Below are 15,699 nucleotides of genomic sequence, written 5' to 3' on the forward strand. Positions count from 1 at the left end.
GGAACTCTTTTGTTGCGGGGCTTAGGTACAACATGATTGTATAAATCTCATTCAGTGTAGATGGTCATAGGGGGCACTAAGAATGAGAGGAAGCACATAGATACTGAAAAGCTATTCAAACAATGATAGGCTGAAGTACCACAGACAAAAAATATTCCTGAAGGTAGGCAGACTATTCGTGTGGGAGGAGTTACCCACCTGATGCATTGGGAGTTGGTTGTGTCTATAGTGTTGCTAAATTTTACACAGGTGAGGTTTGAGGTATGGATTATTTCCACATTGGAAGCAAGAGGTCCTACTAAAACGGAAGTGGTGATTATTTCTGTGCTGAAGTTGTTCCACTGTTCAGGTACAGGGGTTGAAATGTATGGCCTGAAGTGCAGGGGGAGGCACATCCAACTGTTAGTAGGGTTTTGGGCTGAGACCTCATGGAGCCCAGTGAGGGCTGTATTAAATAGACTTACCAGGCGAGTATGGGTACGGAGGTTTTCATGTAGTTTTGAGAGAATATAATCCTTTGTAGGGGCTAGGGGTGCTATGTACCCGGGCCAGTTGGGAGATTACTTCCTTTATGTGTTTTTCTCTTGCTTGATCTTGAACTCCACCCCCATCAGACATACTGGTATGGGTGAAGTAAGTCCAACAGACAGTGGCTCCAAGACCTCCAGGACAACTAGGATTAATCATTTTCCCTGTCCAATAATGAGTATTTGCAGGCATGCAAAGAGTGGCAGAGTTATAGCAGTTGTGGGGCATATGGGTGTGGGCAGTAAAGATGGGGGTTCCCTTAGATAAAGTCCTATACGATGGAGCATCAATATTTCCGGGAAGCCACATTCTCCATAGAAACTGTTGGTAAGGGGAGCTACTGGTCGTACAGCAACATGGAGGGGGTGCAGTGAAAGTAAAAGGGGGTAAGAGAACAGTAAAGAGAAAAATATGATAAGGGAGGGCCATGGTGATTTATGATTTTAGTTACTTTCCTCATGGTTGTTGCTCGAAGAGCAGGCACAGATCCTCTAGATGTTCACAGGAATAGCTAGCGTTGTCTCCTGGATTTTTCGGTTCCTTTGGCAGTATCCAGGATTTGGCTCGAGTGTGAGGTATCCAAGACTCCACTCCAGCCACTTTAACCGAGGTTGGGGTAGATAAAATGACTGGGTAGGGTCCATCCCAGGATGTATCTAGGGATGGGGAATTAAAGGGAAGGGACTTGGCTAATAGCATGTCACCAGGGTGGAATAATTCCTTTCCCTCTTCTCGGGGACAGGCTCCTTGTAATGTTTTAAGAACTTGTTGATATTTGGCTAAGCAGGTGACGTCTGCAACTAAGTTGGCCATCTCTCGGTCGAGCACAAGGTTATTGGTTAGGAAGGCCGTCCATACAGCATTTCGTATGGGCTAAGTCCCGCTTTTTGGGGAGAGTTTTGGATTCTTAGTAAGGCTATAGGCAACAGAGCAGGCCATGCGAGGTGGGTTTCCTGGGTTAGCTTTTTTAGATATCATTTGAGTGTTTCATCCATTTTCTTGACCTTCCCTGAGGACTGTGGCCTCCAGGCGCAGTGTAAGTGATATCGTATGCCTAATGCCTGGGATACTACCTGGGTTACTGCAGCCTTGAAAGCAGGGCCATTGTCACTCCGTAAGCCTCAGGGAAGTCCGAATCTGGGAATTATTTCATGAACTAGTGCCTTTATTACCTCTTGGAACTTTTCTGTCTTACAGGGGAAGGCCTCTGTCCAACCAGTGAAAGTATCTACCCAAACTAGTAGATACTGAAATCCCTGAGATTTGGGCATGTGGGTAAAATCTAGTTGCCAGCCTTCTCCTGGGTAATGGCCTGTTCTTTGTTCTCCTGAAGGAGCTTAGCAATAAGGCAGGGGATTATTTCTTTGGCACACTTCACAGGCCCTGACTATCTGCTTGATAGTTTTGACAAGGCCTGCTCCAGTAAATAATGATTTGGCCATCTTAATGGTGCTATCAATGCCTAAGTGAAAGGTTTGGTGAAGGATTTTAAGTAATATCCATTGGTTAGCTGTAGGCAAAAAAGTATTTTTCCTTCTTTGGTGGCTAGCCATCCTGAGGGGAGGAAACTATGTCCTCATGAGGTTCCCCATTCTATTTCTTCTTCTGAGTACTGGGGCTTGGTTTCCTGGAGGGGATTACCCCATACTAGGGGTCCTTCTATAAGCATTTCTAATGGAGGGTCCTGCCTTGCGGCTCTTTTGGCTTCAATATCTGCTTGGCAGTTCCCTTCTATTTCCCTTTCCTTTCCTTTCTGATGACCCCGGCAGTGTAAGACTGCCACCTCTTTAGGTTTCTGTACAGCCAATAATAATCTCCTAATGGCTTCCTGATGTTTTATAGGTGTTCCCTCGGAAGTTAGGAATTTCCTTTCTCTCCATATTGCTGCGTGGGCGTGGAGGACTAGGTAAGCATACTTACAGTCTGTATATATATTTACCCTTTTTCCTTCTCCTAATTCTAGTGCCCGAGTGAGGGCTATTAGTTCTGCCAGCACTGAGCACTAGTTCCTGGAGTGAGGGGATTACTTTCAAGTATTCCATTATCACTGACCACTGCATACCCTGCTTTTTGAAGTCCTTTTTCTACAAAAGGAACTTCCACCACTATACAAGTTGAGGTTGGGATCAGTCAAGGGAACCTCTAAAAGGTCCCCTCGAGCAGCACAGGTTTGAGCAATTACTTGTTGACAGTTATGTTCTATCTTTTCTTCATTGTCTGGAAGACATGTGGCTCAGTTAAGAGTTGCACAAGTGCACAGTCGCAGCACTGGCCCTTCAAGTAACAGAGCCTGATATTTAAGTAAATCGTTGTCTGACAGCCACAAGTCTCCTTTAGCAGTGAGTATGCCGTTCATATCATGAGATGTCCACACAGTAAGATCTCTTCCCTGTATCATTTTAACTGCTTCAGATACTAAGACTGCTGCTGCCGTCACTACCCATAAACAATGAGGACAACCTTTGCCACTACATCAATTTCCTTACTCAGGTATGCCACGGGTTGCAAGCTCATCCCTCGGACCTGTGTAAGGACTCCTAGAGCTATTCCTGTTTTTCTGTGACATATAAAGAAAATTCTTGCCCCATTGGCAAGCTTAACACTGGGACTTGGGTTAGGGCCTTCTTTAGGGCCTGGAAAGCCACTTCTGCTTCAGGTGTCCATCTTACTAAATAGGTATTGGCTTTCTGAGTTTCCTTAATTAGTGTATATATTGGTCTGGCTATTTTGCCATGCCTGGACATCCATATTTGGCAGAAACCTGTTATGCCAAGGAACCCTGTTAGTTGCTTTAGGGTTTTGGGATGAGGATAAGCCAGTATAGGCTAGATACATTCCTCACTGAGGGCTCTGTTGCCTTTGGATAATTTTAGCCCTAAGTATTTAACCTGCTGTGAGCAGAGCTGAGACTTTGTTTTGGAAACCATGTAGCCATTGGTAGCAAGAAAATTTAAGAGCTCTTGGGTGGCTTGATGGCACACGGTTTCTGAACGGGTGGCTAAAAGTAAATCATCCATGTACTGAAGGACAAGGGTGTCCAGGTATGAGAATTGGCTCAAGTCTTGGGCTAATGCCTGGCCAAATAGATGGGGGCTATCCCTGAACTCTTGGGGTAAAACAGTCCAGGGGAGTTGAGACGTTAGGTTCGAAGGATCTCTAAAGGCAAACAAGAATTGAGAGTCAGGATGTACAGGGATGCAGAAAAAGGCATCCTTAGGGTCCAGGACTGTAAACCACTCTGCTTCCTCTGGTATTTGGGAAAGCAGAGTATAAGGGTTAGGTACAGCTGGGTCTAGAGGAACAACAACCTCACTGAAAATCCTGAGATTTTGCACTAACCTTCACTGTCCATTGGGTTTCTGTACTCCTAAAATTGGAGTATTGCAGGGGCTACTGCATGGTTTTACTAGGCCTTGGGCTTTTAGGTCCTTAACAATCTTCTGGAGTCTTTGTTTGGCCTTGGGTCTGAGGGGGTACTGCCTTTGGTAGGGAAAGGAGGCAGAATCCTTTAGTTTAACTTGAACGGGATGGGCATTCTTTGCTCATCCATATTGTCCTTCTGTTGTCCAGACTTCAGGATTAATTCCTTCCTCAAGCAGAGGACAACAAACGGGTGTTCCTTCTCCTATGTTCAGGTGTATAATGGCCCCCACTTTTGCTTGAATGTCTCTCCCTAACAAGGGAGTGAGGCTCTCAGGCATAATTAGAAAAGCACATGAAAAGAGTAAAGTTCCCCAGTCACATCTTAGTGGCTGGGAGAAGTATCTAGTGACTGGCTGTCCTAAGACCCCTTGGATGGTGACAGATGTGAAGGACAGTTGTCCAGGACAGGAGAGTAAGACTGAGAAGGCCGCGCCAGTGTCCAGGAGACAGTTAACCTCCTGGCCCTCAATGGTTAGGCATACCCGGGGTTCTGTGAGGGTGATGGCATGGGCTGGCGCTTGCCCTGGGCACCCTCAGTCCTGCTGCTGGATCATCTGGTTAGTGGCTTCTGACTCAGAGGACCTTCATCCCCTGGGGCAGTGGACCTTCCAGTGATTCCCTTGACATAAGGGGCATGGACGACCAGGCGGCTTATTTCTACTTGGACAATCTTTTTTAAAGTGTCCTTGTAGACCACACTGGAAGCAAGCCCTATTAGGCATTCGATTTGCCCAGCTTTTCCCTTTTGCAGAGGTTCCAAAGTCCACTTGCCTGAGAGCCATGACTAAAGCTGTGGCCTTTTCTTTTTTTTTTATCCCATTTGTCCCATTCCGTCTGCTCCTCCTGATCTCTATTATAAAAAACCGAGGTTGCCAAGTTCAATAGGGTTTCTAAGTTTTGCTCTGGGCCTAAGGTGGACTTTTGAAGTTTTTTTCTAATATCTGCAGCTGACTGAGTGATAAACGTATCCTTTAAAATTAGTTGGCCTTCAATAGAGTCAAGTGACAGGGAGGTATGCTTCCTCAATGCCTCCCTTAGTCTCTCCAGAAAGGCAGTAGGATTTTCTTCCTTTCCCTGTGTTATAGTGGACATCATTGAATAATTCATAGGCTTCTTTCTAGTTTTCCTTAGTCCTTCTAGCATGCAAGTTAGCAAATGTCTGCAGCACCAATCTCCATGTTCTGATTCTGTGTCCCAATGAGAGCCTACACTGGGAACTGCCTGCTGGCCTGTGAGGAATTTTTCTCTTTTCTCTGCTGCAATCCTATCATTGACCTGACTGAGATACCAGAGATCGCCAAACTCTCGGGCTGCAGTTATGGTGGCACTTCTCTCATTTGGGGTTAGTGTCTGATTTAGCAGTAACATTATATTTCTCCATGTCAGATCAAAGGATTGTCCTAACCCTTGTAAAACATCAATATAGCCATCAGGGTTATCTGAGAATTTATCTAGGTCTATTTTAATTTGCTTTAAGTCTGAGAGAGAAAAAGGTACATGAACTCTGGCTGGGCCGAATTCTCCTCCTCCCACTGCTTGGAGGGGGCATAATCGGGGATACTGGCATTCTTTGGTTCATTGTTTACCCCTTTGTCTATCTCCTTTTGGACAGTTTGGGTTGAAGGGGGGTCCTTATTAGTTGGGGAGGGAGTCGGGGGGAAGCTGGGGTAGGGAGGTAGACTCTGAGGGCTTCCTGTAGGGCATAAATCACACTTTTTACATAATTGCGAGTTGCCTCTTAATGAAAAGAAAGTTTGTACATATGGCACTTCACTCCATTTGCCTTCTTTTCTACAAAAGAGGTCTAGTTGTAAGATAGTGTTATAATTTATACTTCCCTCAGGAGGCCAGGTTTCTCCACCTTGAAGAGGATATCGTGGCCAGGCAGTACTGCAGAAGAATATAAGTCATTTCTTTCCTAGCGTCTGAGTGTCAAATTGGTCCCAATTCTCCAGAATACATCTTAGGGGCGTTTTTGCCTTGGGGGAACAGTTCCCATTTGAAAAAAGAACATAGGGACGCCGGCACCCCTAGTCATTTTCCGATGACCGTTAGTCCTAGAGCGTCCTCTATGGTCCTAACGCTTATTCCTTTCCAGGGTGTGTAACCACCCATGGACCTCTGCTTATTGGATTAGTTATGCTCACCAATGTAGCAGTCCTGCACCCCTTTTCCCGCCTTTCTTGACCACAAAGAAAGGGGTCCAGGCTGCTGGATTCTAGCAGCATGCCCAACATTGCCTTTGTGCTCAGGGGTGAGTCCTAGAGCTGGGCTGGGTTCCTGAGTATTTCATAACAACCCAGCTGCCCCATCAAGATGCATTCTCATAAACAACAGTTCTTATGCAAATTCATTTAGAGAGGGTGTAGGTAAGCTTTTGAGTCAGGATATTGATAGTCTTTTTTGATTCTGTAAGTACTTTAAGGCTTGTCTGGGAGCAAACAGCTCGCACTTTTGAGGAGACCAATTATTAGGCAATTTTTCTAACTCTGCTTCCAAAAGAGTCTCCCTATCAATTACTGAATACCCATTGTGGTTTTTCCCTCAATCACCTGGGAGGAAACTTCTATCATCCTGTCCTGAAGGGAGTTCCTCCTAGGTCTGGCCGGACCTTTGTATGGTAATTAAGATTTAAATCCCCTGTTAGGAAATCTGCTGGGTTAAGGGAATTATCAGCCGTTGGTGTTAAATTACCTTTTTCTAACAGAATAGACCCATACTTTACGATTTTTTAGTTAGTAAGCTACCTTTTTGCTTTTTTGACTTAGAATAATTCTGAACTGGTGAGGTGTGCTCACAATGAGGTTTCCTTTAAAAGTTACTTTTCTACTTTCTTCTGTTAGCAAAGCAGTTGCCGCTACAGATTGAATGCATCCACGGGTTACTGGGTTAAGGATTTTTGATAGGAAAGCTACGGGTTGTCAGTGGTCTCAGTGTTTTCAGGCTATGCCCTTGTTTACACTGACAACAAGGTAGTATTGGAGTGTTATAGGGAAGACCTTCAATTATCAATTATAGGTTTTAAATTTACCCTGGCTTTTAAAGGAATAGGGCATACTGTTGTTGTTGTTGTTTTGTTTTGTTTTACTATTTCTATCTTTCTCTTTTTCTCTTTGACTCTTTCTCTCTCTCTCCTCTGTCTCTCTCTCTCTCTCTCTCCCCTCCATCTCTCTCTTCACTCCTCCGTCCCTCTCTCCTCCTCTTAGCCATTACAAACTTGGGTCCCTGGCAAGGGTGGTGGGGAAAGGGTCCCACATAACTGCCCATGTCGAGAACTGTATACCTAAATCGGGAGGGACACCAGGGATAAGACTTCCTGGGTTTATAGCCTAGATGCCTAAGGACACAGCATAGAGCTTTCTTAGATCCCTTTGGAGATACAACTTGCTAGAGGAAATGCAAGTCTGAACCATTGGTACCTAGGAGGCAGGGATCAGAGGAAGTAGATTCAGAGGTAACGAGAATTTTGGGGCTACACTTTCAAGAAAGTCGTGGTTGGGACCCAGGAGGTATGGGTCAGAAGAAAAGGTACGGGGGCATGCATGGGTGACTGTTGAACAGAGACTTCTGGCTGTGCCATGATCTCAATCGGCTAATGCTGGGAGTTTGGAATGACAGCTTTCTGTCTCTAGTCAGCCCTCGGCTTCCCCAAGAAAATTGAAAGCAGAAGCTGGTTCTAGGCAGATGAATGCTCCCAACCCAGAAGGGTTGGGTGTTGTTAGAAAGTCCTTCCCCAGACAGCCTCACACCTGAGTCTTAAGTCTGACAGCCATGCTAATCGTTTTTAACTGGCCGACAGGTGCCCGGTATTTTCCGCCAATTCTAAGGAAAGACAGGACAGAATAGCAAGCGAAAGTGGTCCAATATTACTCACTGCTTTGGAGGTCCCTTCGTGGTCACCAAATGTTAGTGGTGGGTCCTTTCTCCCAGAGCTCCCAAGATGGTGGTGGGCTGCTTCCAAAATGGCAGCAGGCCACTTCCAAGATGGTGGCAAGCCTTGTGTTCTCTGACCTGGGGTTTTCGCCTCACGGATTCCAAGGAATGGAATCTTGGGCCATGTGGTGAGTGTTATAGCTCTATTAGAAGCCGTGGGTCATGGAAGAGAACCGTGGAACCCAGTGACTAGTGTTCAGCTCAATTAGGATGCACCCAGGCTAAAGGGCACTTAGCCGTGCAGGAACAATGGTGAGCCTTTAGCCCGATCGGAAATGGCAATGGGCACCTGGCTGGATCAGGAGCACAGTGGACACCCTGCCAGATCCAGAGGGATGGAAGTCAGCAGTGGGTCTGTGATGGTGGAAAACAGCAGTGATGGACGGAGAGCGAAAGCTCAGCTTGAGCCATAAGAAACACAGATCAGAAGAGAGTGCAGTTGCAAGATTTAACAGAGTGAAAACAGAGCTCCCATACAAAGGGAGGGGACCTATCAGGGGAACCCGCCCCCAGTTAGAACTACTGATAAGGGTCTATGTTCAGCAGTGTACGTATTGTCTTGATAAACATATTAAACAACAGAAAACAGGGTTCAAGAGCAGAGAACCAGTCTGACCACAAATTACCAGGACAGGGTTTTTCCCCACCCTAGTAAGCCTGAGGGTACTGCAGGAGACCAGGGCGTATCTCAGTCCTTATCTCAACTGCATAAGACAGACATTCCCAGAGCAGCCGTTTATAGACCTCCCCCCCAGGAATGCATTCGTTTCCCAGGGTATTAATATTAATATTCCTTGCTAGGAAAATAATTTAGCAATGTCTTCCCTACTTGCACGTCCATTTATAGGCTCTCTACAAGAAGAAAAATATGGCTATTTTTGCCCAACCCCACAGGCAATCAGACCCTATGGTTGTCTTCCCTTGTTCCCTAAAAATTGCTGCCACTCTGTTCTTTTTCAAGGTGCACTGATTTCATATTGTTCAAACACACATGTTCTACAATCAATTTGTACAGTTAACACAATTATCACAGTGGTCCTGAGGTGACCTACATCCTCAGCTTACGAAGATAATAGGATTAAGAGATTACAGGCATAAGAAATTATAAAAGTATTATTTGGGAACTAATAAATGTCCATATTTAAATGAAATCTTCACAATTTATGTTCCTCTGCCTTGGCTTCAGCCGGTCCCTCTGTTCAGGGTCCCTGACTTCCCACAACAGTAACCCAAAGAGGGTAGTCATTGCCGGCTTGAATGCCTGGGTTTATATCCCGATCATTGTCCCTCCCGCTGTGCTGTCAGGCAACAGAAAATTGGCTATTTCTTTACCTCCTGTTTTTGCCTAATTAGCTTTTTAGTGAGCTCTCTTTACTACGTGATTGGTCGGGTGTGAGTTAAGTTGCAAGCCCCCTGTTTAAAGGTGGATGTGATCACCTTCCCAGCTAGGCCTAGGGATTCTTAGTTGGCCTAGAAAATCCAGCTAGTCCTGTCTCTTACAAGTACCTGCAGATGCTACCAACTGACTCATCCAGAACCCCAGGCTGGACTTACTGAAAAAGTCTTTCCCTGCCAAAGCTAACCTGTAAAGGCAGAAGAGGTGACTACTTCCTCAAAAACACAGACAGCAACACAAGGACATAAGAATCACAAAGAATCAGGGAAACATGACACCACCCAGAGTAAACTAATAAAGCTCCAATCACTAACCCTAAAGAAATGGAGATCTATGAAATGGCTGACAAAGAATTCAGAATAATCCTCTTAAACAAGTTCAGTGAACTACAAGAAAACAGAGATAGACAACTAAACAAAATAAGGAAAATACATGGAGAAAATAAGACGTTCAACAAAGAAATAAAAACAAAAAAAGAAAACCTATAGCTGAAGAAAAATGTAATAGAGATCTTCAACAGCAGACTCAAACAAGCAGAAGAACCTATGAACCCTAAGACAAGTCATTTGAAATTAAACAATCAGAGGAAAAAGAAATAAAAAAACAAAAGAGTGAAGAAAGTCTATGAAACATTTGGCTATCAAGTGAACCAATATACAAATTATAGAGGTACCAGGAGAAGAGATAGAGAAAATGGTAGAAAGTCTACTTAAAGAAATAATGGCTGAAAACTTCCCAAATTTAGGGAGAAATGGACATCTAGATACAGGAAGCCAAAGCTTCCCAAAAAGGTTCAATTAAAAGAGGTCTATGCCAGGTAAGGTGGCTCATGCCTGTAATCCCAACACTTTGGGAGTCCAAGGTGGGCAGATCATAAGGTCAGGAGTTTAAGACCAGCCTGGCCAGCATGGTGAAACCTCATCTCTACTAAAAATACAAAAAATTAGCTGCACATGGTGGCAAGCACCTGTGGTCTCAGCTACTTGGGAGGCTGAGACATGAGAATCACTTGAACCCAAGAAGCAGAGGTTGCAGTGAGCTGAGATCACTCCATTGCACTCCAGCCTGGGTGACAGAGTGAGATTCTGTCTCCAAAAAAAAAAATTATACCAACACACACTATAAATTGTCAAAAGTCAAAGAAAAAAAGTGAATTTTAAAAAATTTAGCTAGGCATGATGGTATATGTGCCCATAGTCTTATCTACTCAGGAGAGACTAGGGCAGTAGAATTGCTTGAGCCTGGGAGATTGAGGCTGCAGTGAGCTATGATTGTGCTTTCCCATAAAAGCCTTTGCATTTAACTGTAAAAATGGCAACCCTCTTCCAGGTCCCCTCTCCACAGCACAGAGCTTTCTTCTTTCTCTTATTAAACTTTTGCTCCAACCTCACCCTTGGTGTCTGCACTCCTTAACTTTCTTGGTGGTGAGACAAAGGACTCTAGGTACTACCTCAGGGACATTGTGATGCACCGGCAAGACTGTAACATTTTGGTTCCTTGACTGGGAGATATCAGAAGGGTGAGTAGGAGCAGATCTCCAAACTTTTTTTTTTTTTTTTTGAGACAGAATCTTGCTCTGTTGCCCAGGCTGGAGTGCAGTGGCACCATCTCAGTTCACTGCAAACTCTGCCTCCCAGGTTCACACCATTCTCCTGCCTCAGCCTCCTGGGTAGCTGGGACTACAGGCACCTCCCACCTCGCCTGGCTAATTTTTTGTATATCTAGTAGAGACAGGGTTTCACCGTGTTAGCCACAATGGTCTCAATCTCCTGACCTCATGATCCGCCCGCCTCAGCCTCCCAAAGTGCTAGGATTACAGGCGTGAGCCACCATGCCCTGCCACCTCCAAACTCTTTACTTTCATTTCTGAAGCTGCTTCTCAGTTTTTTTTTTTTTTTTTTTTTTTTTTCCCCCTGAAGACCAAACAAGACACTGGGCCCCTGCCAGCCAGTTAAAAGATTTTAGAGTGGCTGTCAGCCTTACAAGACTCAGGGGACAGGTTTGCTGGAGAGTCAATCCTGCATTGCCATCAGGTGGTGGGAATGTTGGCTCTGTTCTAATCTAGTTTCCTTTCACAGAGGACCTAGCCATCGCATGGGGCTAGAAGGAGGTCCTGGGGCAACTGAGGGTTTCTGGCTGAGGCTACTCCTTGGTGTTACCTGAAGAGCCCCTAGAATAACTTCAGCTTCTGAGAGCCCATCAATGGTGTCCACACCAGGACTTCCAGACTTTTCTATAGCATTTTCTTCCTTTCTTTTTCGTGGCTATCATGTCTCCTATCCTTTCTTTGTATGCTATGTTAAGGGAGTTTTTACAGCCTAGGCAGATAATCTTCTTGGGTAAAGTTAGTGAGTGCCTTAGTAACCAGGAATGTAACTTTAAAAATTGCTGCTTCTCTGATTTCCTTGAGATGGGGGGATTTCAAGATTTCAGTCTAAACTTTCACCTAGTGAGGGCCTTTTTGACCCCCAGTGATAGGCATTCATAGCACTATATGGGAGGATATTCCACCCTAAGTAAACACCCTCCTCTCCATTTGGGTTTTCTAAGAGCTCAGCATTGACAAACGAATTTTCTTCTGCTGGGTGGCATACTATGGGGGTAGCCTATTAAGACCCAGACCTCTCTTTCTAACCTCTGCCTAAAAAGAATTTGGAGTCAGAGTTTTTACCTAACATTTCAAACCCTACAACACCACCAAATGGGATGGGATTTTTCATGGGGAGTCTTGTCAGTTCTTTGCCCAAAATCTCTAGTTCCCCAATTCCTTTCATTGTTATATCCCTCTCTCAGTGCTCAGGCCCCATGCCCTATTTGTAGATAGTAAAACTCCCCTTTCAACATGTGGGAGGAAGCCACCCTGGTGAGACAGATTTTAGCCTCAGTGCTATCCCCATCAGATATTCTTACATTCTTTTGAGGCATCTGTTCTGCATCCAGCTATGTTGGCATCCAAGAAAGGAAGGGATCTTATGTTTAAAAGTCAATTGGTCCCATTCTCTAGGAATTCATTACTTTGCCTGGGCAGTAATAAGGAGATATAAGGGTAGGGTTAAACCACTCACTCCATTAAAGGGTCTTGCCCAAATTCAACTACTGCATAATCTCTCCCGGGCCCCTAGGGTACTTCTGGAAGCCTTATAGGCCAAGTGGGTCTAAGAAACCAGCAGGGTGGAGAGCTAGGGCCTCACTCAGATAAACATGACTCTTCCTGCTGACTAGCTTCTCCAGATCCATTGGTGAAGGTCATGCTTGCATCCATGGGTGGCACCTGTGATGTTCGCTGGGACCCAGAGGAGATGGGAGGAAAGAGAAGGGGGATACCCCTTCTATCTTTCTCTCCACACTGGGTCGCTCTGAAAGGAGGAGGGAGACTAAGGGACACATTCTCCCCTCTCTTTCCAGATGGGTAACAACCCATCTTTAGCCTGCACTTCCCTTGAGTACAGCCTGGATCAGTGGAATTTCTCTGACCCTCAGACTCTAAAAATAGTGCCTCATATTCTTTTGTACTTGGGCATGGCCATCTCACCAAGTGCAGAACTTGGGGAGGCCTGGTCTCTTCAGGAAAGTGCCTTTTTTTTTTGAACCAGAGTCTTGCTCTGTCACCTAGGCTGGAGTGCAATGGTGCAACCTCAGCTCACGGCAACCTCTGCCTCCTGGATTCAAGTGATTCTCCTGCCTCAGCCTCCCGAATAGCTGGGATTACTGGTGCCCGCTGCCATGCCCAGTGAATTTTTGTATCTTTGTAGAGACGGGGTTTCACCCTGTTGGGCAGGCTGGTCTTGAAATCCTGACCTCAGGTGATCTGCCCACCTTGGTCTCCCAAAGTGCTGGGATTACTGGCATAAGCCACAGCGCCTGGCTACTCATTTCAACACTATCCAGCAACTAGACCTTTTCTGCAGGCAGGAGGACAAATGGTCTGAAGTCCCCTATGTGCAAGCCTTCTTTGCCTTGAGAGGCAACCCAAATCTTTGTCAGCACTGCATAATTGACCCTCCTCTTTTAGCAGTCATATCAGACAAGCATGCAGGAGATAATTCCCCAAAGTCAAAGAAACAACCCCCTGGGGAACCCTTAAATGCAACTTCCAGATGCCCTGGCCCTTCTTCCCCCCAACATTCACATCATCAGCTCCTCCAGTTCTACCACCCAAACCCCCAGACTTTTTTTTTGAGACAGAGTCTTGCTCTGTCGCCCAGGCTGGAATGCAGTGGTGCCATCTCAGCTCACTGCAAGCTCCGCCTCCTGGGTTCACGCCATTCTCCTGAGTCAGTCTCCTGAGTAGCTGGGACTACAGATGCCCACCACCACGCCAGGCTAATTTTTTGTATTTTTAGTAGAGACAGGGTTTCACCGTGTTAGCCAGGATGGTCTCAATCTCCTGACCTCGTGATATGCCTGCCTCGGCCTCCCAAAGTGCTGGGATTACAGGTGTAAGCCACAGTGCCCGGCCCCAAACCCCCAGATTTTTCTATGGTATTTTTCCTTCCTTTTTTCATGGTTTGAAATGGCTCTTCTCTCTTTATGATATCCCTCCAAACTGGGAAAAGTTAATTTCTCAAACCTTAAACCTTAAAATTCTTGGCTTAGAATTGATTGTGGGGAGGGCACCCAGAAGCCTGCCATGCCATTCCAAAAAGGTAAAAGGGTTGTTTTTTGTTTGTTTGTTTTGTTTTTTTACCAGTTTAGCTTTTGGCTTCTCTCTCCCTGTGCAAACCAGTAAAAGGAATAATAAGGATCACTGTTTATATTCTCTGTAAAGCTTTGATTAATGAAAAAGGATTTATGAAGTTGGTCTTAAGCTGTAGCCAATCTGGTGTGCTTTGCATGTCTTTCTGTACGGTTCTGTCAGAAAGAGGGGTACCTTAGGATGGAATGTGGGTCTAGAGCTCCATAAGCCCACTGTTCAAGCCAGCCTGGTAAACTGGTCAATAACAAACTTTGCTATAGGCCTCCATCTTGTTTTACATCCTTGGAAGTGTGACCTGTAACCATGTGGCAATACTTTGTTTTAATCTCCACCATTTTACAACGATGGCCCGAGTTCAATCCTGGCTTGGAGAATGAGTACCTTTGGGTTAATGTCTGTATGACTTTTGCCATTTGCTGATTCTGTTCCCCTCCATGAACAACTTCTAGCTTCCCTTCTTAAATCTTCCTTTCTCTGAGTTGCCTTTAAAGGTTCTAGATTTTGTACAAGTGTGGCCACCCAGTAGGTTCACCTTGCCCACTGCCTCAAAAGAGCTGATTTATTGGGATGGGGGAATTGAAATGGAGAGGGGGTGATTCATGTGGGGCTGGCTGTGTGGGAGACCATAGTTTTGTTATTGCTCTGGTCAGTCTCCCTAAGCATTTGGGGAGCAGAGTTTTTGAGGCGGCTTGGTGGGTGGGGAAGGCCAGTGAGCCGGGAATGCTGATTGTTTAGGTTAGAGATGAAATCACAGGGAGTCGAGGCTGTCCTCTTGTGCTGAGTCAGTTCCTGGTAAGGGGCCACAAGATCAGATGAGCCAGTTTATCAGTCTAATCCATCCAGCTAATCCATCAAGTGCAGGGTCTGCAAAATATCTCAAGCACTGATCTTAGGAGCAGTTTAGGGAGGGCTAGAATCTTGTGGCCTCCAGCTGCATGATTCCTAAACCATAGTTCCTAATCTTGTGGTTGGTTTCTTGGTCTGACAAAGGCAGTCTGGTCCCCAGGAAAGGAGGTTTGTTTTGGGAAAGGGCTGTTATCATCTTCGTTTTGGACTATAAACTATAAGTTCTTCCCAGAGTTGGTTCAGCCTATGCCCAGGAATGAATAAGGGCAGCTTGGAGGCCAGAGGCAACATGGAGTTGGTTGGGTCAGATCTCTTTTACTGTCTCAGTTGCAGTTTCACAATGGTGGTTTCAAAAGCTGCTTACCACCCCTTTGAAAATACCTTGTACACTCATGGTTAAATCGTAACCTTAATTGAGGCTTGTTGGTTTCACCTGTGAGGTTGCTTTTGGTAAAGTTCAAATGCCAGAAATCTTAACCACTTAGTGTGACTAAAGTCAGGTAACAAGGGATTTAAAAGGATTTTCTTAAAGAGCACTCAGCTTAATTAAAAGTGGATATCCAAGTTATAGGTATATTTAAAAGGCCTTTATGTTTTTCTCTTCTTGGCTCTTGTTTTTGTAGAAAAGGTTTTTAACCAGTCACCTACATTCTTCTTTTCCATTTTGTCTTGCCACTCTTAATGCATGCACGAGAGGCCCCAAGATAACTTCTGATGGCCTAGGACTCCTTGGTAAAAACAGAAAAGGCTCCATGGATTCCATTTTGGGAGAAACCTCTGTTTTCCTCATGGAACCCCAGGAATTAGAGGCAGATAGATCCCTCTCAAAATCTGTTTTTGTCTTCCCCAGAAACTGCATGCTTTTGATATAGGAGTT

General features: G+C 45.2%; 1 annotated feature.

Moving 5' to 3' along the window:
* Nucleotides 8,469-8,669: a silencer, noted in NCBI's record as "peak1732 fragment used in MPRA reporter construct". NCBI's record gives its function as "represses an SCP1 promoter by STARR-seq MPRAs in K562 erythroleukemia cells {active_cell/tissue: K562}" and the evidence as "EXISTENCE:reporter gene assay evidence [ECO:0000049][PMID:32103011]".

Source organism: Homo sapiens, chromosome 12 (genome assembly GCF_000001405.40).
Source record: "Homo sapiens chromosome 12, GRCh38.p14 Primary Assembly".
Taxonomy (NCBI): domain Eukaryota; kingdom Metazoa; phylum Chordata; class Mammalia; order Primates; family Hominidae; genus Homo; species Homo sapiens.